General features: G+C 43.8%; 1 protein-coding gene and 1 pseudogene across 6 annotated transcripts in view, besides 6 other annotated features; both read right to left on the reverse strand.

The window, feature by feature from the left end:
* The window catches only part of DUSP16 (dual specificity phosphatase 16), an 89,582-nt gene extending 75,546 nt beyond the window's left edge, over positions 1–14,036 (reverse strand). The window contains exons 1-3 of one of the 6 annotated variants that reach the window (XM_047429570.1): positions 13,290–14,036; positions 5,709–5,832; positions 4,482–4,608 (exon numbers count right to left, since the gene is read on the reverse strand). The gene's annotated coding sequence lies outside the window, so the exon portion shown is untranslated. Of the gene's footprint in view, positions 1–4,481; positions 4,609–5,708; positions 5,833–12,172; positions 12,289–13,289 lie in introns of those variants that run through there. The other 5 variants (XM_047429569.1, XM_047429568.1, XM_011520856.2 and 2 more) reach the window with 5 other exon arrangements.
* Positions 2,551–2,670: an enhancer, noted in NCBI's record as "active region_6012". NCBI's record gives its function as "activates an Ori minimal core promoter by ATAC-STARR-seq in GM12878 lymphoblastoid cells {active_cell/tissue: GM12878}" and the evidence as "EXISTENCE:reporter gene assay evidence [ECO:0000049][PMID:35858748]".
* Positions 11,966–12,025: an enhancer, noted in NCBI's record as "active region_6013". NCBI's record gives its function as "activates an Ori minimal core promoter by ATAC-STARR-seq in GM12878 lymphoblastoid cells {active_cell/tissue: GM12878}" and the evidence as "EXISTENCE:reporter gene assay evidence [ECO:0000049][PMID:35858748]".
* Positions 12,936–13,135: a silencer, noted in NCBI's record as "silent region_4255". NCBI's record gives its function as "represses an Ori minimal core promoter by ATAC-STARR-seq in GM12878 lymphoblastoid cells {active_cell/tissue: GM12878}" and the evidence as "EXISTENCE:reporter gene assay evidence [ECO:0000049][PMID:35858748]".
* Positions 13,156–13,275: a silencer, noted in NCBI's record as "silent region_4256". NCBI's record gives its function as "represses an Ori minimal core promoter by ATAC-STARR-seq in GM12878 lymphoblastoid cells {active_cell/tissue: GM12878}" and the evidence as "EXISTENCE:reporter gene assay evidence [ECO:0000049][PMID:35858748]".
* Positions 13,306–13,385: a silencer, noted in NCBI's record as "silent region_4257". NCBI's record gives its function as "represses an Ori minimal core promoter by ATAC-STARR-seq in GM12878 lymphoblastoid cells {active_cell/tissue: GM12878}" and the evidence as "EXISTENCE:reporter gene assay evidence [ECO:0000049][PMID:35858748]".
* Positions 13,836–14,345: a silencer, noted in NCBI's record as "silent region_4258". NCBI's record gives its function as "represses an Ori minimal core promoter by ATAC-STARR-seq in GM12878 lymphoblastoid cells {active_cell/tissue: GM12878}" and the evidence as "EXISTENCE:reporter gene assay evidence [ECO:0000049][PMID:35858748]".
* Positions 19,297–19,971, reverse strand: RPL19P17 (ribosomal protein L19 pseudogene 17; annotated as a pseudogene).

The following is a 20,543-nucleotide window of genomic DNA, read 5'->3' on the forward strand; positions in this document are numbered from 1 at the left end:
GCAGGGCAGGTCTGCAATCGTGGAGAAAAGGGGAAATCATCAGGAGGGGATTTCAAGTGGGTTGTCCTCCACTTCTAATCATGATCATGACTTTATCCCTCAGCCTATGAAAAGCAGAGACTAGGGTGACAGACCCCAAGCTGAAAAACCCCTAGGGCAAAAAAATGAGAACACTGTACTGAGTGTACTTTAATTACAGACAATACACACATATGTATATCTTTCTCTATTAAAATAAAAATACAATTAGTCTTTCATTTTCAATGAAATATGAGTAACTGCCCAAAACCCAAAACCTAATTTTAGCTTTAGCCTCTTTACCATCGACATCATTATTAGGGATACAACCCAGTCATCAAGATGACTGAAAAAGTGGCACTGCTGCTTTCCCCTGTGTAACTGAATACACAATTCCTACTAACAGAAATGGAATACTGGTAAGTTGCTAAAAGGCAGACTATCTAGTATAGTTATTTTAACCGTGTTTTGATGGAAATCCTTCAATTATATGTGCATCTCCATGACTCCTGTTGCACCCACCCCCGCACTTCCCTAGTCCCATTCTTCCAGGCCCAGCACATGGGGGAGCCCAGCTGATCCTGGAGTCTTCCTCCGTGCCCTCCATGCTTAGCTCCACTCTCTGTCCACAGCCTCATTTTGCCTATAGCTATTTCCATAATCACTAATGCCTACTCCATTCACTCTTACCATTCTTCTTTCATTTATCTTCTGCCATCCCTTAGCTCTCCCAAAAGAAAAAAATAACAGTCTCCCCACCTGGATGAAACAAATGACTGCCAAGAGCAGTCCGTTCTCCTCTCACATATGTTACCATCTCTCCCATTCTGTCATTCAAGAAAAAAAATAACTCAGTACCCTGGATTTTGAATACAATAAGTAAGTATGAACAGATATGTGTGTATATATGTGGCCACAGTGCTTTTTTATTAAAAAAAAAAAATAGGGAGAGCAAATTTTCACTTTTTTATGTTATAAAGTGCTCTCACTGACTCTTCCCTTCTGTCTACCCTTTATCCAACACGCTCTGATGTTATATGACCTTCCACCCATAATAGTATCTGGCCACATGGCTCATCCTACACACTAACATAGTCCCTTCTCCCTGACAAATTCATCAACTAAGATGGACATGTTACTTTATTGATTTAGATGCGTGTATCAGACCAGGCGCAGTGGCACTCTGGGAGGCTGAGGCAGGTGGATCACCTGAGGTTAGGAGTTGAAGACCAGCCTGGCCAACATGGTGAAACCCTGTCTCTACTAAAAATATAAAAATTAGCTAGGCATGATGGAGGGTGCCTGTAATCCCAGCTGCTTGGGAGGCTGAGGTGGGAGAATCGCTTGAACCCGGGAGGCGGAGGCTGCAGTGAGCCAAGACGGCGCCATTGCCCTCCAGCCTGGGTGACAGAGTGAGACTCCGTCTCAAAAAAAAAAAAAAAAATGTGTATCAGACTGCTCTAAAAAGATGTCAGCACATGGTACTAGTTTACACCAGCAGTTTTCAAAGTGTGATCCAGAGATGAGGAAGGAACCCCTTCAAGGGATCTATAAAACTATTTTTGATAATATGAAGATGTTATCTGTCTTTTTCACTTTCATTCCCTCATGAGTGTACAACAGTGGGTCGAGGATGCACGGTATGTGGTGATGATGTATCTATCACTCTGACAGCTAAGAAAACATATACTTGTATATTCTTTACTGCCTATCATTTTTTAAAAACCCAGTTTCACCCATCATTCTCAGCAAAGTAACACAGGAACAGAAAACCAAATAGCACATGTTCTCACTCATAAGTGAGAGTTGAACAATGAGAACACATGGACACTGGGAGGGGAACATCACACGCTGGGGTCTGTTGGGAGGGAAACATCACACGCTGGGGTCTGTTGGGGATTGGGAGGATAGAGGAGGGATAGCATTAGGAGAAATACCTAATGTAGATGACGGGCTGATGGGTGCAGCAAACCACCATGGCATGTGTATACCTGTGTAACAAACCTGCACGTGCTGCACATGTACCCCAAAACTTAAAGTATAATTAAAAAAAAAAGCCAGTCTCACTTAACAACATCCTTGATAAAATAATAAAAGGTATTAATTTTTAAAACGTCAACTCTTGAGAACTTGGCCTTTTTCATATTCTGTATGATGAAATAGGAAGCACACATAAAGCATTTCTGCTGCATACCTAAGTATAATGATTATCTTGGGGAAAAGCATTTATACAATTTTTTTTTTTCATAGGACACCATTTTTGCTTTTTTGACTAGCAGACAATTTACACTTATTCAGACTTTGGTATCTGGCAGACATTTTCTCTAAAATGAATAAAGTGAACCTGTCACTTTAAGAAAAACCGGCAATATTGGGCTGCTGGCCGTGGCTCACACCTGTAACCCCAGCACCTCGGGAAGCCTAGGCAGGCAGATCACTTGAGGCCAGGAGTTCAAGACCAGCCTAACCAACATGGCGAAACCCCCATCTCTACTAAAAATACAAAAAAAATCAGCCAGGCGTGGTGGTGCGTGTAATCTGAGCTAGGCAGAGGTTGCAGTGAGCCAAGATCACACCACTGTACTCTAGCCTGGGCGACAGAGGGAGACTGTATTAAAAAAAAAAAAAAAAAAATGGGCACTATCTGTTGCCAATGATATAAATTAAGCTTTCAAGAGAAAACTGGTATTTTGGAAAACTTGAATTCGCCACCAAGATCTTGACCACTTCCCAATTCTTAAAGATTTTTTGGATGAGACTGATGGTGATATTAATGACTGTGATTTGCTTAATATTGTATAATCAAATGTGCCAACATTTCAAAGATGTGCAGAACTTAGTAAACCTTTTTTTTTTTTTTTTTCCGAGATGGAATATCGCTCTGTTACCCATGCTGGAGTGCAGTGGCACGATCTCAGCTCACTGAAACCTCCACCTCCCAGGTTCAAGCAATTCTCCTGTCTCAGCCTCCCGAGTAGCTAGGACTACAGGCGTGCACTGCCATGCCTGGCTAATTTTTGTTATTTTTAGTAGAGACGGGGTTTCACCATGTTGGCCAGGCTGGTCTTGATCTCCTGACCTCGTGATCCACCTGCCTCGGCCTCCCAAAGTGCTGGGATTACAGGCGTAAGCCACTGTGCCCAGTCAGCTTAGTAAACCATTATTTTTTGAATGATCAATGTATGCAGTTACAAAATCACACACAGGTCAAAGATCCATTCAAAGTGCAAGATGGACCAGTGGATTTTAATGTTACAGAGTACACAAAATTCACTGACATGGCTTCAGATTCAGCAGTGCAACTAATATTTAAGAATCTGGCTGGGAGCGGTGGCTGCGCCTGTAATCCCAGAAATTTGGGAGGCCGAGGCAAGCGGATCACTTGGGGTCGGGAGTTTGAGACCAGCCTGGTCAATATGCTGAAACCCCATCTCTACTAAAAATATAAAAATTAGCTGGGCATGGTGGTGCGTGCCTGTAATCCCAGTTACTTGAGAGGCTGAGGCAGGAGAATCACTTGAACCCGGGAGGCAGAGGTTGCAGTGAGCTGAGATCACACCACTGCACTCCAGCCTGGGCGACAGAGCGAGACTATCTCAAAAAAATAAATAAATAAATAAAAAGCATTTACCAATTGTTGAATTTTGGTGTAACAAAAATATTCACAATTATATGAAAAGACTATGAAAATACCCCACCCTTCTTCAACTATGTATCCGTGTGCAGCCAGGTTTTCTTCACGTATTTCAACCAAAACAACATATCACAACAGATTGAATACAGGAGCAATTATGCAAACCCAGCTATCTTCTATAAAGAAATATACTAAAGAGAATGGCAAAACGTAAAACAATGCCATGTTTCTCACCAGATTTTTTTGTGTGTGTTGGAATACCTTTTTCATAAAAGCATATTATTTATATCAACCCTCTTTGTTTTTTCTTCTTTTTTTTGAGACACAGTCTCGCTCTGTCGCCCAGGCTGGAGTGCAATGGCAGGATCTCGGCTCACTGCAACCTCTGCCTCCCGGGTTCAAGCGATTCTCGTGCCTCAGCCTCCCAAGTAGCTGGGATTACAGGCGCCCACCACCACACCTGGCTAATTTTTGTATTTTTAGTAGAGACGGGGTTTTACCATGTTGGTCAAGCTGGTCTCGAACTCCTGACTTCATGAGATCCACTGACCTCAGCCTCCCAAAGTGTTGGGATTACAGGCATGAGCCACCATGCCTGGCCTAATGTTTGTTATTTTTTAAATAAATAAATATTTTAAACATTTTTCAGTTTTAATTTCTAATGTTAAGTATGGACAGACATAGTCTATATAAACAAAAGATTTTTGGGGTCCTCAGAAATTTTTAAGAGTATAAATGTGTCCTGAGACCAAAATGTTTGAAAACCATTAGTTTATAGTACCACAAAAAAATAGCACTTTTAAGTATATGTATACAAGAGAATGGACACCTGAATATGAATCAGAAGATCTTGGCTCCAATTCTAGCACCACTTCTTACTTGCTTTAGGATTTCAATAAATTACTTCATCTCTCTAAGGCCTTAGTTTCCTCATCTGTAAAATGGGTAACTCATGTCTTCCAAGGATAAAAGAGACAAAATATGTAAAAGCAATTTATAAACTACAAGGTACACTATTATTACAAGATCTCAAAGTTAAGCATTTTAAACACTTCTTATGATGTTTTGTTTCTTTGTTTTTGAAACAGGGTCTCACTCTGTTGCCCAGGCTGGAGTGCACTGGCACTAACATGGCTTACTGCAGCCTTGACCTGCCAGGCTCAGGTGATCCTCCTACCTGAGCCCCACGAGTGGCTGGGACTACAGGTGTGCACCATCACACCCAGCCAATTTTTTGTATTTTTTGTGGCGACAAGGTTTCACCATGTTGCCCAGGCTGGTCTACTCCTGACCTCAAGTGATCCGCCCACCTCCCCAAGTGCTGGGATTACAGGCATGAGCCACCATGCCTGGCCTCTTACGATGTGTCTATGAAATTTTCCTTATTCTTAAAATTTTATTACTAAAAACAGAACTTATAGAAAATGTCAAGTGCAGGCCAGGAGCAGTGGATTACACCTATAATCCTAGCACTTTGAGAGGCCAAGACAAGCAGATCACTTGAAGTCAGGAGTTTGAGACCAGCCTGGCCACCCTGGTGAAACCACATCTCTACTAAAAATACAAAAATTAGCTGGTGTGGTGGTGCACGCCTGTAATCCCAGCTACTTGGGAGGCTGAGGCAGGAGAATTGCTTGAACCCAGGAGGCAGAGATTGCAGTGAGCTGAGACTGCGCCACTGCACTCCAACCTGGGTGACAGAGTGAAACTGGGTCTCAAAAAAAAAAAAAAAAAAAAAAAGCCAAGTGCAGACTTTTGATTAGCTAATTAGCTCAAATGTCCAAGCATATAATTTTACTTTATTTTATTTTGCAGAGACAGAGTCTCACCATGCTACCTAAGCTGGTCTCAAACTCCTGACCTCAAGCGATCCTCCCACCTCAGCCTCCCAAAGTACTGGATCATAAGAATGAACCCTCATACCCAACCCAACAACACAATTTTATTGCATTTAATTTCTTACCCTACAGTTATAATTGGTTATATATTTTAAATCATTATTAGGGACATTTCCAAATATACACAAATGTAAAAAAAATAACAAACTCCAACTTACCCATTACTCAGCTTCAACAATTTTCAAAAATTTATCAATACTCTTTTATTCATTTCCCACTTCTGTGTGTTTGTGCCCATCCTGAAGTTTTTTAAAATGAACATTTCGCATCATTTTATTCTGCCTGTAAGTACATCCATATGTATTTTTAACACATGAAAATATTTTAACATAACCACAATATGACTATTATAGCTGAAAACATTATGGTTGTAACTATTAAATATCACCTAATATATATTCCATTTTCAAGTTTCCCAACTGTCTCAATTAAAAAAAAAAAGTCTTTGTTAGTTTTTGGTTGGTGGGTATTATCAAAATATCATTCTTACCAATTCTTTCTCAAGTCAACCCAAGATGTTTAACTAAAGCTACGAAGGAAGAGGAAATAATACTATGCTTCATATACCATGTACAGTTTACAAAACAAGTCAAGAACTATCTTCTCGAGGAATTTTCTTTTCCACCAACCAAACAATAACAACAAAAACCAAGCAACAACAACAAATAAACCCACTACAAAATAAGCCAGCATGGCAATACATATACCTTAGTATTCTGAGAAGTGATCCAAAGAGCACACAGCTCAGCTGCTCGGGAAGAGAAGGAGCTGTTACACTGTGAGCCGAAAAAGGTGACTGGAAACAACCACCCATCATTTTGGAAAAGAAGAAGTCAGGTCAGCCACAGGGTCAAAGCTGGAGGTGAGGTCAGAGACCCCGTTCTAGAGTGAGCACATGGCTCAAATAAGAGTCCATGCCCAAGACTATAAGTCAACCCCTTGCAAACTGCAACTCAAAGCTCAAAACACAGTGCTCTAAGCTAGAGATATAATGGAACGGCTATAAAAAGCAACAGGTGTAAGAACTGACTGAAATTATTTGACAAACATTTGTCAAAAGCCTACTCTACTATCCTGGGATATAAACTGTGTATTTAAAAACTAGTACAACGCACACTGTAAGTAGCATATACTTCTCTACACATCTTTCCCCATTTATTTTAAGAGAAATAATGGATATATTAAATATTAATTATCTTGCCATACCATTACATCTTTTTTCTATAAACGCAATTTGCCCCACCCCAACATACATAGACATTAAAACAAACCTGAATTCTTCTGTCTTTCCCAAATATTTTTGAGGAGTACAAGTCAGATTAACTTTTATTACACATACCACAGACCCACAGCATTTATAGCTGTAATTCTTTTCTAAATTAAGGCCAAGCATGGTGGCTCACACCTGTAATCCCAATGCTTTGGGACGCCGAGGTGGGAGGATTGATTGAGCCCAGGAGTTCAAGACTAGCTGGGCAACATAGCAAGACCCTGTCTCTACACAAAATAAAAAATTAGCTAGGTATAGTTGCACATGCCTATAGTCCTAGCTATTTGGGAGGCTGAGGTGGGAGAATCCCTTGAACCGAGGAAGTCAAGGATGTAGTGAGCTGTGATGACACCACTGCACTCCAGCTTGGGCGACAGAGTAAGACCATGTCTCAAAAAAATAAAAATTAAATAAATTAAGCATTTAGTTTAGGAGGAAATCAAGAGAGCACTAAAGAATTTCCTACCTTGTATTAAAATTGTTTCCCATAGGTTTATCTCAAGTATTTTGTAGATGAAAATTGGTTAGGTGCATACAGAATAATTCTTGAGGGATTTGGTTCTATAGACACACTTAATATCAACACTTTTTAAAATCCTTTACCTCAATTTCACCTATAAAAAAGTTTTGCTGGTCACAGTGGCTTGTGCCTGTAATCCTAGCACTTTGGGAGACTAAGGCAGGAAGACTGCTTGAAGCCAGGAGTTTAAGACCAGCCTGGGCAACAAAGTGAGACCCCCATCTCTATAAAAATAATAAAAATAAATAATAATAATTAGCCGGGTGTGGTGGCATGCACCACCTGTGGTCTCAGCTACTTGGGAGGCTGAGGCAGGAGGACTGCTTGAGCCCAGGAGTTTGAGACTACAGTGAGCTATGATTGCTCTATTGCACTTCAGCCTGTGTGACAGAGACAGACCCCATCTTTAATTAAAAAAAAAAAAATTAAAAACTGCAAAAAGAGTGAAGGGCACATATTTCTTAAAGAATGCTTCAGAAGAACAAAATGTGCCCCAAAACATGAAATAGCTCCTGATAATATCAGTTTTTAGTTGACCACTATGAAGGACATCTTCTAAACAATAACAAAACAAACCTGGCAGTCCAATAACTACAGGAAAGATCAAGACTTCCCCATTTTGGAACATCTTTGCTTCAGGTTTTTACTTTTTGTAGTAATACAGGAACAATATGCCATAGGGACAAGAGTTGAACAGGTGTCATCCCTTACCCTATTTTACCTATTGGTAATTAAGCCTAACAGTTTATTGTCTGTACATCTTTTCTTTTGTATGTTCCCATACAAAACAATCTTTGGAATTTAGCTTCACTTTATGACACTATGGTGATTATTGTTCCTAACAGAGAGTCTAACCTAAGAATATAGCCCAATACGTGAAAAAGCTAACTGAACAGTAAACAATGACATTAATCTCATTGTAAAAAAACATGAGATTCTTAGCAAATGGCAGCAAAAGAACTGTGGATACATTAACAAGGCATTAAAAAAAAAATTTAAAGTTTCTGGCCGGGTGTGGTGGCTCACACCTGTAATCCCAGCACTTTGGGAGGCCAAGGCGGGTGGAACACGAGGTCAGGAGATCGAGACCATCCTGGCCAACGTGGTGAAACCCCGTCTCTACTAAAATACAAAAAAAAATTAGCTGGGTGCGGTGGCACACGCCTGTAGTCCCAGCTACTCGGGAGGCTGAGGAAGGGGAATCGCTTGAACCCGGGAGGCGGAGGCTGCAGAAAGCCGAGATGGCGCCACTGCACTCCAGCCTGGCGACAGAGCAAGACTCCGTCTCAAAAAAAAAAAAAAAAAAATCTAAGTTTCCATGCTTTGACCTAAAAAAAAGTCACATAGGTTTCTTTTTCTTTAATTCCCATTTCTTTTTTTAAAAACTGGTTAATGTGTAGATTTTTATTCAAATTCATTTGGACTGCACATGAATATTAAAAAGTTATAACATGAAGACTGTTCATTAGACTATCATAGGCAAAGCAAGTGATTCACAGAATAAGTGCAATTTATCGACCCTGATCATTACCTTTACTACCGACCACTATTTAACATCACTTTTTTAATGTACTGTTTACTTGTTTACTGTCTTTGTTTATTGTCCTGTCTTCTCCCACTAGAATATAAGTTACGTAAGGGCAAAAACTTTCTCTTATTTTCCACTGTATGGCCAGGGTCTAGCACTTGGTAGAGGATCAGCATAAATTTGCTGAATGAGATGGGTGAATACCTTCCGCCTTTCGCCTCCCCCACTTCCCTCTCTCCATACACATGTTAACCAATCTTTAAGGCCAGGGTCAAATTCTATTATCTCTATGAAGATTACCTCCCTGAGCCCTCTTTCTCTTTTGTACCTGAATTTGGCACTTGCCAGCTGTCTGGTAATTATCTTTGCATATGTATGTATCTCCCTTAAAATTCTTATAATCCTGTTCTCCATAACATGGGCCAGTGTCCCCAACTTTTGGAATCCATCTCAGCACATGTAAACAGCATACTGCTAACAAATGTTTTGCTTGATTCCTATCAGTAGTTAATCCAGAAATTCAGTTAATAATTTCAGTTTATAATGTATCCCTCCCTTTCAAATAACTCAAAATAGGCCATGATATTACAGCGAATCCCTCTTTTTATTTCTGACAATTTTAAATTTTACATTCTCATATAAGTAATGCTCATAATTTACCCTATCAATCACTATCCCTCAAGATTATATGTTTTTTTTTTTTTGATACACTGTCTTGCTCTGTTGCCCAAGCTGGAGCGCAGCAGTGCCATCATAGCTCACTGCAGCCTTGACCTCCCAGGCTCAAGAGATCCTCCCACTTCAGCCTCCAAAGTAGCCGGCACCACAGCTGCGTACTACTACCATACCTAGCTAATTTTTTGATTTTCTGTGGAAACAAGGTCTTTGTTGCCAGGGCTGTTCTCAACACCTGAGCTCAAGTGATCCTCCTGCCTTAGCCTCTTAAAGTGCTGGGATTATAGGAATGAGCCACCACGCCTGGCCTACATTTTTTAATGTAATAAAAAAATCTTGTGACTTTGTGGCAATACCTATAATGATGTTTCTAACCCCAGTCAAGAAGGGCGTGAAGTTTCATTCCTCTCTCTTGTTGCTGAGGTATCAGAGGGCATTTTTCCACTTATTCCTCTTTCCTTTCATGGCAAGATGTATTCTGTTCCCTTCCTTACTGATCATACTCCTGGCAAGCTTTTATTATTTCTTTGTACCTGTCCAAGGTAATCTGTCTTACATCCTTCTTTTGAGCCACTGTTTCCTCCAGTTATTTATTTGATTAAAATTCTAACTCCCTGTCTCAATCCATTTGTGTAGAAGAACCAGCTCTTCTTAAAGCCTGAGCCTGCTTCTTTAAATTCGGCCAACCTTTATGAACCTCTCTTCACACAGCCAACCCTTGATCATCAAGGATAATGAAATGCATACAAATAACAGATTGTCTACAACACAAGAAAATCAGAAAAAAAAAATTGACATCTGGCTTTGGAATTTATCATATGTAGCTTTGGGCAAGACTTATTTTCCTAATTATGTTTTTGTTTAAGCCAACATTCGGATTTTCTTTTATGATGGTGAATATCTCCGTTTTAAATGATCAGTAAATTTCTTTTAAAGCCAATCAAGCACCAACTATGGTTTTTCCTGTGAAATCTTTTTAACTAGTTTCTTTCATCTGTTGAAATCTGTCATAAAATCTGTTTTATTTCCTCTAAGTTATCTCCTTATTTTCTTGGGATTCTGATCCAAATCAGTTCACCCTATATTAATTTACTTCTTCAAATTAAAGTACCTTTTGCTTGAGAACTTAATGCATTTTAAAAACACTGAATGTCCAGTGAAATTTTTAGTTCAGGTAACACGAAGTAGAAAATTATTTTTGTCTAGGAAAACTTGGGAGTTCTAGGATAAATTATTACACTGGTAATTCTAGCAAATTATATTTAGTAGGATTTTTAGGATTAGCTGAAAATTGAAAAAATTTAATACTGGACAGCTATATAAGTCTGCTTCATCAATATATTAATCCCATATGCTAAACACTGTATGAAATTAAATTCCCAGTCCAGGGATTTACAGAAAATAGCATCAAAACACACTAACACATAAATCCTGCCTCTTATTCTGATCCCTACCTAAACTCTGCAACCTTCTCACACCTACTCTTCCCCCCTCCCATCTCAGCCTCACTTCCACTCTCAACTGTCCCACAAATAATTTTTAAACGTGTAGGAAAAAGGAAAAGAACCGGGGTAACAGTGTCTCCTCTTTTACTGCCTTCTCAGTTACTGCCATTAAGCTTTTGGCCCAAAGACTCCAATCCCCAATTTTACATGTCTATTTTTATTTTATAGGTACACACTTACAATCACCAAACTGAACGAAAGGATAGGGCATTCTAAATTGAAAAAGGAGCAAAACTGGATAATTCTGCAGTTCTGTTCCTAGCCCCCTCCATAATCATGCACTATGATCATTTGGCACTATAATCAAGCCAAATGAGATATTGTACTTTGAGTTGCTGATATAGCAGAGGTTAATACTAAAAAAGAAAAAAAAAATTAATTACCACAGTTTACATTTTTTATCTGAATGTACATTTATAGTACTTGAACCGAGTTATTTTCAAAACACTATTCACACTAACAAAATTCAAAATAAATTCATTTCTAATTTTTCCCCCATGTAGAATTTTGATAAGTGCAAAAATTATTTTACCTAAAATCCAACTCTTGGGCTGGTGTTATTTAGCCTATATTTTTACATAAGACTGTAAATGTTAGCCAAATTAAAAAAAATTTTAATGCAACTTTCCACATTGTCTTCAAACTCAGTAAATTCCACAATTTTAAAAAACAAAAACCTTTCACCGTGCCTACTCACATTTTTACTAAAATCCCTACACAGAGCCATACATTCTGCTTTTCATTTTACTTCTCCAAGCTGCTGCCTTCACCAAATAGACTCCACGAGCCTCCCAAGTGGTATCCACCAATATATGTGATACTCAAGGAAAAGTAGGTATTAAAGAGTAATTAATTCAATTGGTACGAAATCTTTTCTTTTAAAATTTTACCTTAACTTTAAAAAGCCCTTTTCTTGATGGAGGTGAAACAGCATAAATCCTTTGAGGAAACGGTTATCCTTTACGTGGACTCTCCATCAGCCCCATAAGGTGAGTGGCATAAAGAGGCATTTTTCTGACAGTCTCAGTTCCCCAAACACTAGTCCTAAACTTTTGCATGGATGGTAAATTTCACACACACACACACACACAGAGGCGGAAAAGAAAGAAGAGAAAGAAACATACCTGGTTTATTTTCTAAACAGGTTTGATAGGTTTGGTTCACTTGAAAGAGCAGAGTATTTACTTATAATCTTTTAAAACAGAAGTGGGAGCCAGAGCGCTGGGTAAATAAAAACTTCAGAGAGTTTTAAAACCCTGCATCTTAACTCACTTCCCTTTGGTTCAAGGGGATGGCACAGCAAACCCCACGGCAAATGAGATTATGCAACAGGTTTTTTTCCTCCCCAGCTTATTCATCACAGGCTGGTTAGAGGTGTGCTTTCTCCAATCTGAGACACCCACGACTTCAAAACGCCAAGAATCCTTGCAGTTGATGTTTCCTAAACTTCTTTAGGATTTTGCAGTATCCATTCATTTTCAGATCTACTTGCCTTTTCTCTGGTTCATTATTGGTATTCTTTAGGAAATAAACCCAGCATCTGAAAATATTTCCCTCTGTGGTGTTTCATTACATGAAACTACACGTGATACACAGACCCTGGGCTTTTTTATTTCTCACGTTTTGCAGCTAGTGTAAATAAAGAAGTCACTAGGCGTCGGGCCCCCCAACGCCAAGACCCGAGCCCCTGTCCGAAAATTGAGGGCTTTTTCGGTTGGTTGGTTGAAGAAAGCAGCACCGTCACCACCCAGGTGGCCTCGCTGCTTACACCAAAGGCGAACTGGGGATAATGGGAACAGTCAGGCCAGGGCCCCACTTGGCAGGCGTGTTGTGTAACAGTCGCGCCTGGAAGTGAGCAGCTTCGCCCGCAAAGGTGCCGCGTCCCGCGGCGGCCGCTCCTCTCGGCGGGGCCCGGTCCAAGCGCCGCGCAGCGGCCGGGAGCGCACCCACTGCGACCCCGCGCCCGGCCGCACGCCCCCTTCCCGCTCCGGCCAGCCTCCGGCCAGGCCTACACCCCCGCTTCAAACGCTCCTGCGGCCCCCGGCCGCGGTCGCCCCCACGCCGCCTCCCGAAAGGGTGGCCGGTACGCCCGGGAAGGCAGAGACGGCGGGGCTGGAGCGCGGCGCCCGGCACCGGGAGTCGGGGCGCGCTGCGGAGCGTCCATGCGGCCGGGCGGGAGGGCGCCCCGGGCCCCGCACCCTCCCGCCCGCACACCCCGCGCGGCCCGCCAAGGCCACTTACTTTTGGGGCCGCCGACCTCCCAATTCCCTCAGAGGGAAACGAAAGTTGTCACGGCGTCTCCCCTCGGGCCCCCCTCGCCTCCCGGACTTGCGAGGCGCCGCCGCGGAGCCGAGAGGGCGGCTGCGCTCCCGCTCGCGTCCCGTCCCGTCGCTCTCCTCCTCCTCTTCTTTTCAGTATATTATCTTCTCCTTCTCTGAGGGGTGGGTTGGGGCGGGAGGCTTAGGAAGAGAGGAGACGCTCGCAACTTTTCTTCACTCTTTCTCTTCCACCCTCCCCCCCATCAGCCTTCAAAAAAAATGTCGAAAGAGATGAAGAACTTAGGGAGGTAAAGGTGGGGGGCCGCGTTGTGAAAGTGGGGGTTGGGGGGGAGAGAGAGGTGGTAATAATCGTTTAAAAACTGATTAAAGCCCCCCAAACACTGATACATAGAAAGAGGGGGAAAGGCGGGGGGGTGGGGTGGGGGGTTGGGGGAAAGAGAAAGAGTCGCTGGTCAGGAAACTTCAAGCGCGGATGAGGTCATTGGTTTAAAAATAAAGAGATGGCGTCACTTGAAACCAATCCCAGTGAATGAACTCAGCGGAGCCCCGGGGAAAGGAGGAGACAGGCGAGGGCAGGGCGGTGGGCGCCGGGCGGGGCCGCGCGCTCGCCCATCCCGCGGCCGCCCGAGCCCGGAGCGCGGCTCCGCGCCTCGTTCCGGCCGCTCGGGGAGGGGTCAGGTCATGTTCCCTTCCAGAGTCCGGCGACTCTGAGGCAGGTTCCGCGGGCGCCGCTGGGAGGAGCCGGAGCTGCCGGAGGAGGCGGCCCCGCGGCCTCCTCCCCCACCTCTCCCTCCTCCTCCTCCTCCTCCCGCGCCCGCGCGCCCGCCCCCTACCCCCGGGCTCGCGGCCCCGACCCCCGGGCCGGGGTGTCCGCCTCCAGTGCTGCGCCCCAACAGGTATCGGAGGGTTTTCTCCCTCACCCAGACGCAGAACCTTTCCCTCCTCCTTGAGCTGTTTCCAGCTGCCTCACCAACGTCAAAAAACGCAAACACTGATTTGAGAGAATTACACTCGCTCTGTAAAAAGTCTGGCGAATGCAAAAGGCAAGGCTCTGCCATCTCTCAGGAGAGAAGTTACAGGTACTTCAAGAAAAATCACACTACTGTTGTCAGGCATTCAGCTATCTATATGTTTATGGTTGAAAGCCCCCACATAAATGTTCCTACATTACTTTACTTTGCTTATATTTACAAATACAAGGATAAGCAGCCTACATTTTCTTTAAAAATGTTTTCTACAGGAGGCAGCGCAGAAACATCTTTAAATAAGACCAGGGGTTAACCGCCTCTTGAGAGGTACAAAACCCTTGTTGATTTAACTCCACATACCTCGTGCATTTTATTATTTGAATTCATTAAAATGTCTGTTTTGAGATGACATTATGCACTTTGGAAAACGAGAGACCTGAGGTGGTGACAAACCAGGACTTGGAATCACTGAATAGGACAATCGGAGCTTTATTCCAATGTTCTTTGAGCATTTGAGCATGAAGCTGCTTCTACTGAGAAGTACTCACGTGGATATCACATAACAAAGATGTGATTAATGACGGAAAAGCACCCTGCGAGTGGACTGCTCCATGAGCCAGAATTTATGTGTAGGAATAATCTAACTCTTCAAATATTCCATTTACAATGTGCCGGATTGGGACACTAGACCCTAAAGGCACTGTTTGCTGTGGGATATCCATGTGCACCCTGCCTAAAGCACGTTTTTCCACTAGCAAAAGAACTGATAAGCAGGTTTGGGTGGGTTCGAAAGATAATACACCCCTGTTACTACTTTTCTGCCTTTAAGTCCTGCAACTAAAGGCATTCCTTATGATTGGTAATCATTGAAGGTTAGTGTTGCGGGGTATGGCCCTGGGAACTTCTGGCCCATCTTTTATAGGAGGGAAAAAAAAAGCCCATTTGAAGATGGGAGGCACCCTAGCACCTCTGGCAGTAGTAGGTAAAGCCTGAAGGCCACAGATGGAGAAGCAACTTTGAGCCTGTGCCTCTGGCCTCTTGAAGACTTTGCTAGGGGAAGCAAATCTCTCCCACTGCTCCCTGTCCTCTGGTGGCCAGGAGGTGTTACTGCAGCTTCCTTGGGATTATTTGTGCTCTACCAGGAAACCCCTAAAAATCTAACTGTAGACCTTTGTTGGAGGTGTTGGGATTTTTAGGAAGGAAGAAGAAGATAGTCCTTTTACTAGTGGTACAGAGCATGGATCTTGCCTGGAGGAAAGATTCATGAGAATTAATGGTATCCCCTTTGCATGCCAAAGTTCCAGTAACCTTGCTTTAACTGACATGGCTTGAAACGTTTCTCCCCTTTCCTCAGTTACACAATTAAGTTTGTGTAATGTATGATGTGGTGCCATCATAGCTATCATAGAAGTCTCTCAGGGTATTTCATCTATTTCTGGAAACAAGACGTATATTAAAGCTCATTAAAAACGAAATCAATGATTGAGTGATGTACAATATTGGTTAAAAGAGTCAGGGGGCCGGGCGTGGTGGCTTAAGCCTATAATCCCAGCACTTTGGGAGGCCCGAGGCGGGTGGATCATGAGGTCAAGAGATCGAGACCATCCTGGCCAACATGGTGAAACCCCGTCTCTACTAAAAATACAAAAATTAGCCAGGCGTGGTGGTGGGCGCCTGTAGTCCCAGCTACTCAGGAGGCTGAGGCAGAAGAATCACTTGAACCCGGGAGGTGGAGGTTGCAATGAGCCGAGATCGCACCACTGCACTCCAGACTCCAGCCTGGCAACAGAGTGAGACTCCATCTCAAAAAAAAAAAAAAAAACAAACAAACAAAAAAAAACATCAGGGGAGAAAAGGAGCAATGTAGGCTGGGATTATCAGGGAAGGCACCTTATAAAGAGTTTTGACCTTATCCTTGAAGGACAGTTCAGATTTAGTTTGCAGTGAAGAAGCCAGTGGAGGGAAGATTCCAGAGGGCAAATGGCAATGAGCCAAGACATGGAGGTGGAATGAATAATGAGTAAGGTGTATTCAAGTGACAGAAGAGTAAACCCAGTAGCAGTAGAAATCGGTATTTAGCAATTAGGTATGAGGTTAAATTTAAGAGATACAGAGGCACATTGTGGAGGTACTTGAATGTTAGAATAAATAGATTGTTACCTGCCCAGCAGGTGAAGGGGAAACCACTAAACAAGTTTACTTCACCGAAGAGTACATTTCTTTCTTTTACTAAGAAAGGTTTTCTACATACTAACAATAAATATGTGGAAACAGCCCTCTCCCTCTCCCGCTCCCGCTCCCGCTCCCTCTCTTTCCACGATCTCCCTCTGATGCCGAGCCGAAGCTGGACTATACTGCTGCCATCTCGGCTCACTGCAACCTCCCTGCCTGATTCTCCTGCCTTAGCCTGCTGAGTGCCTGCGATTGCAGGCACGCACCGCCACGCCTGACTGGTTTTCGTATTTTTTTGGTGGAGACGGGGTTTCGCTGTGTTGGCCGGGCTGGTCTCCAGCTCCTAACCGTGAGTGATCCGCCAGCCTCGGCCTCCTGAGGTGCCGGGATTGCAGACTGAGTCTGGTTCACTCAGTGCTCAATGGTGCCCAGGCTGGAGTGCAGTGGCGTGATCTCGGCTCGCTACAACCTCCACCTCCCAGCCGCCTGCCTTGGCCTCCCAAAGTGCTGAGAGTGCAGCCTCTGCCCGGCCGCCACCCCATCTGGGAAGTGAGGAGCGTCTCTGCCTGGCTGCCCATCGTCTGGGACGTGAGGAGCCCCTCTGCCTGGCTGCCCCATCTGGAAGTGAGGAGCGTCTCTGCCCGGCCGCCATCCCATCTAGGAAGTGAGGAGCGCCTCTTCCCGGCTGCCATCCCATCTAGGAAGTGAGGAGCGTCTCTGCCCGGCCGCCCATCGTCTGAGATGTGGGGAGCGCCTCTGCCCCGCCGCCCCGTCTGGGAGGTGAGGAGCGTCTCTGCCCAGCCACCCCGTCTGAGAAGGGAGGAGACCCTCCGCCCGGCAGCCGCCCCGTCTGCGAAGTGAGGAGCCCCTCCGCCCGGCAGCCACCCCGTCTGGGAAGTGAGGAGCGTCTCCGCCCGGCAGCCACCCAGTCCGGGAAGGAGGTGGGGCTCAGCCCCCGCCAGGCCAGCCGCCCTGTCTGGGAGGGAGGTGGGGGGGTCAGCCCCACGCCTGGCCAGCCGCCCCGTCCGGGAGGTGAGGGGCGCCTCTGCCCGGCCGCCCCTACTGGGAAGTGAGGAGCCCCTCTGCCTGGCCACCACCCCGTCTGGGAGGTGTACCCAACAGCTCATTGAGAACGGGCCATGATGACAATGGCGGTTTTGTGGAATGGAAAGGGGGGGAAGGTGGGGAAAAGATTGAGAAATCAGATGGTTGCCGTGTCTGTGTAGAAAGAAGTAGACATGGGAGACTTTTCATTTTGTTCTGTACTAAGAAAAATTCTTCTGCCTTGGGATCCTGTTGATCTGTGACCTTACCCCCAACCCTGTGCTCTCTGAAACATGTGCTGTGTCCACTCAGGGTTAAATGGATTAAGGGCGGTGCAAGATGTGCTTTGTTAAACAGATGCTTGAAGGCAGCATGCTCGTTAAGAGTCATCACCACTCCTTAATCTCAAGTACCCAGTGACACAGACACTGCGGAAGGCCGCGGGGTCCTCTGCCTAGGAAAACCAGAGACCTTTGTTCACTTGTTTATCTGCTGACCTTCCCTCCACTATTGTCCTGTGACCCTGCCAAATCCCCCTCTGCGAGAAACACCCAAGAATGATCAATAAAAAAAAAATAATAAAAAATAAAAAATAATAATAAAAAATGTGGAAACAGAAATTAAAAACAGAACCATTTTACAATTGCTCCAAAGAACGTGAAATATTTACATATAAATCTAACAAAACATGTACAACATCTGTGTGATGAAAATTATAAAATGCTGATGAAAGAAATTAAAGAAGACAAATAATTGGAATGGCATACTATATTCATGGATTGGAAGAATCAATAAACATGTCATTTCTTCCCAAATTGATCTATAGAGTTAACGTAATTTTCATCAATATCCCAGCAAGGTTTTTTGTAGTCATAAGCAATCTTAAACTAAAACAGTGTCCAACACATCTAGAGGACTGAGTGAGTGCTAGACTCCCCCAAGACAGAGGAAGAGCACATACACTTAGGGCACCAGCAAGGCAGGGAGTCCAAGGTTTACAATCAGATAATCTAGAAAGAAGCTATTTTTGCTTCAGTACATGTAAGTGTGTGGTTTAGTACTGTTTTTTAGTTAGAGTTAAATATGGGGAAGGAGCACCAAAATTGCTGGTTAGAATTAAATATGGGGGAGAAGCACCATAATCCTTAGTGTTTAGACCCTCTTAAGGTCTTACTTAATCCATCCCTGGCTGAAGTTTATTCATTGACAAACAGTGATTGAGTGCCTACTACCCTTATGTGCCAGGCACTGCACCTAGCTCTGGGAATATGGTTATAAATAAGATTACCTATCTCTCATGAAACTAACATTCAAGTGGAGAGAGAAGACAATAAGCCAATAAACAAAAACCACGGCCTGGACTGTGACAAGATGGACTACACAGGGAAAAAAAACTGGGTGAGGTGATAGTGAGTGACTTGGGGTAGGGGTGAAGGTGGTGGGGGAAGTTCAAATGAAGAGGGGACATTTGAACTGAGACCTTAAGGATGGCAACAGGGGAAGTGGTCAGGGTAGAGAAAACAGGTCACTCTAAGACCGTTCAGCAGAAACAGAGTGACTTGTAGAGAGTTGGTGTGTTCCCAGAGCCAAAGGAAGCCAGTGGGGCACAAAAGTATAAAACAAGGGTGGGCAGGAGCCAGATTATGTAGTACCTTATAGTGTATGGAGTTCAGATTCTATTCTGAAAGATTTAAGCAGTTAGTACATGATCTGATTTATGAAGAGGACATTTGCAATTAAGTAAGCATAAAAGGTTGCGTTTTAGAGAGTTGGGTTTTTTTTCAAGCAGATAAAAGCCTGTTTTGTTTGAATGGTCTATGTAATTACTGAGGCCACTATGTATAGACAAGAAAGGAGGAGCTTTATCTCTCGGTCTCTTCCTCCTTGGACAACATCTTGATGATCTCCTCCTTCTTGGCCTGGAGGCACTCGTCATGAAGTTTGCACACTTCCTTAGTCTTAGGCCAGTGGGCCTCAGCCTGGTCCACCAGGAGCTTCTTGCGGGACTTGTCTACCTTCAGCTTGCGGACAATTCCATGAGAATACGCTTGTTTTTGAACACAATCCCTTTCACCTTCTGGTACAGAGTGTAATACATGTGGCAATCAGTCTTCTTAGATTCACAGTATCTTCTAAGAAGCTGGCACAGAATCCTCATTCTCCTTATCCAGGTTACCTTCCCTGGCCTTTGGGCATTGGCTGTACCTTCTTGCTTACCTATGCCCAGGTGCCTGCCCTTCCGATGGTCCAAGGTTTTCTGGCATCAAGGAGCCTGGGAATGGACAGGCACAGGCTTGCGGATGATCAGCCCATGTTTGATCAGCTTCTGGATTTGCTGATGGGAGTTAACATTGGTCTCTGGGAGCCAACCAGACCTTCTTTTTGCCACAGCAAAAGACATTAGAGGAAAACTTCCTCTGAAGCCTGAGCATATGCATGGCTTCAGCTGCAGCAGCAAAAACAGTTTTAATATTCTCTATTTTTTAGGTAATATAACAGCTCCCTTTTCCAATAGGAAGAGAGAGTTTTTGACAATTTTGTTAATCTCCAAGGATCCTTTGAATGTTCCTAAGTCAAATGTTCTTAGCCTAGGATTTGTGGATTCCTAGAGAGTATATAGATGGGCTCCAGAGGGTCTAAGAGCCCCCTAAAATTTTGTGTATATATGCTTATACATGTTTTTCTGTGAGTGGGTCCCTAGCTTTCAACAGATTTTCTTTTCTTTTCCTTTTTAATGAGATGAGGTCTCCTACTGCCGAGGCTTGAGTACATAATCATGGCTCACTGCAGTCTCAACCTCCAGGGCTCAAGTAATCCTCCTGCCTCAGCCTCCCAAGTAACTAGGACTACAGGTGCAAACCACTATGCCTGGCTAATTTTTAAAACTTTTGGCCGGGTGCGGTAGCTCATGCCTGTAATCCCAGCGCTTTGGGAGGACAAGGCGGGCGGATCATGAGGTCAGGAGATCAAGACCATCCTGGCTAACACGGTGAAACCCCGTCTCTACTAAAAATACAAAAAATTAGCCGGGT

The sequence above is a fragment of the Homo sapiens genome, chromosome 12 (assembly GCF_000001405.40).
Source record: "Homo sapiens chromosome 12, GRCh38.p14 Primary Assembly".
Lineage (NCBI taxonomy): Eukaryota > Metazoa > Chordata > Mammalia > Primates > Hominidae > Homo > Homo sapiens.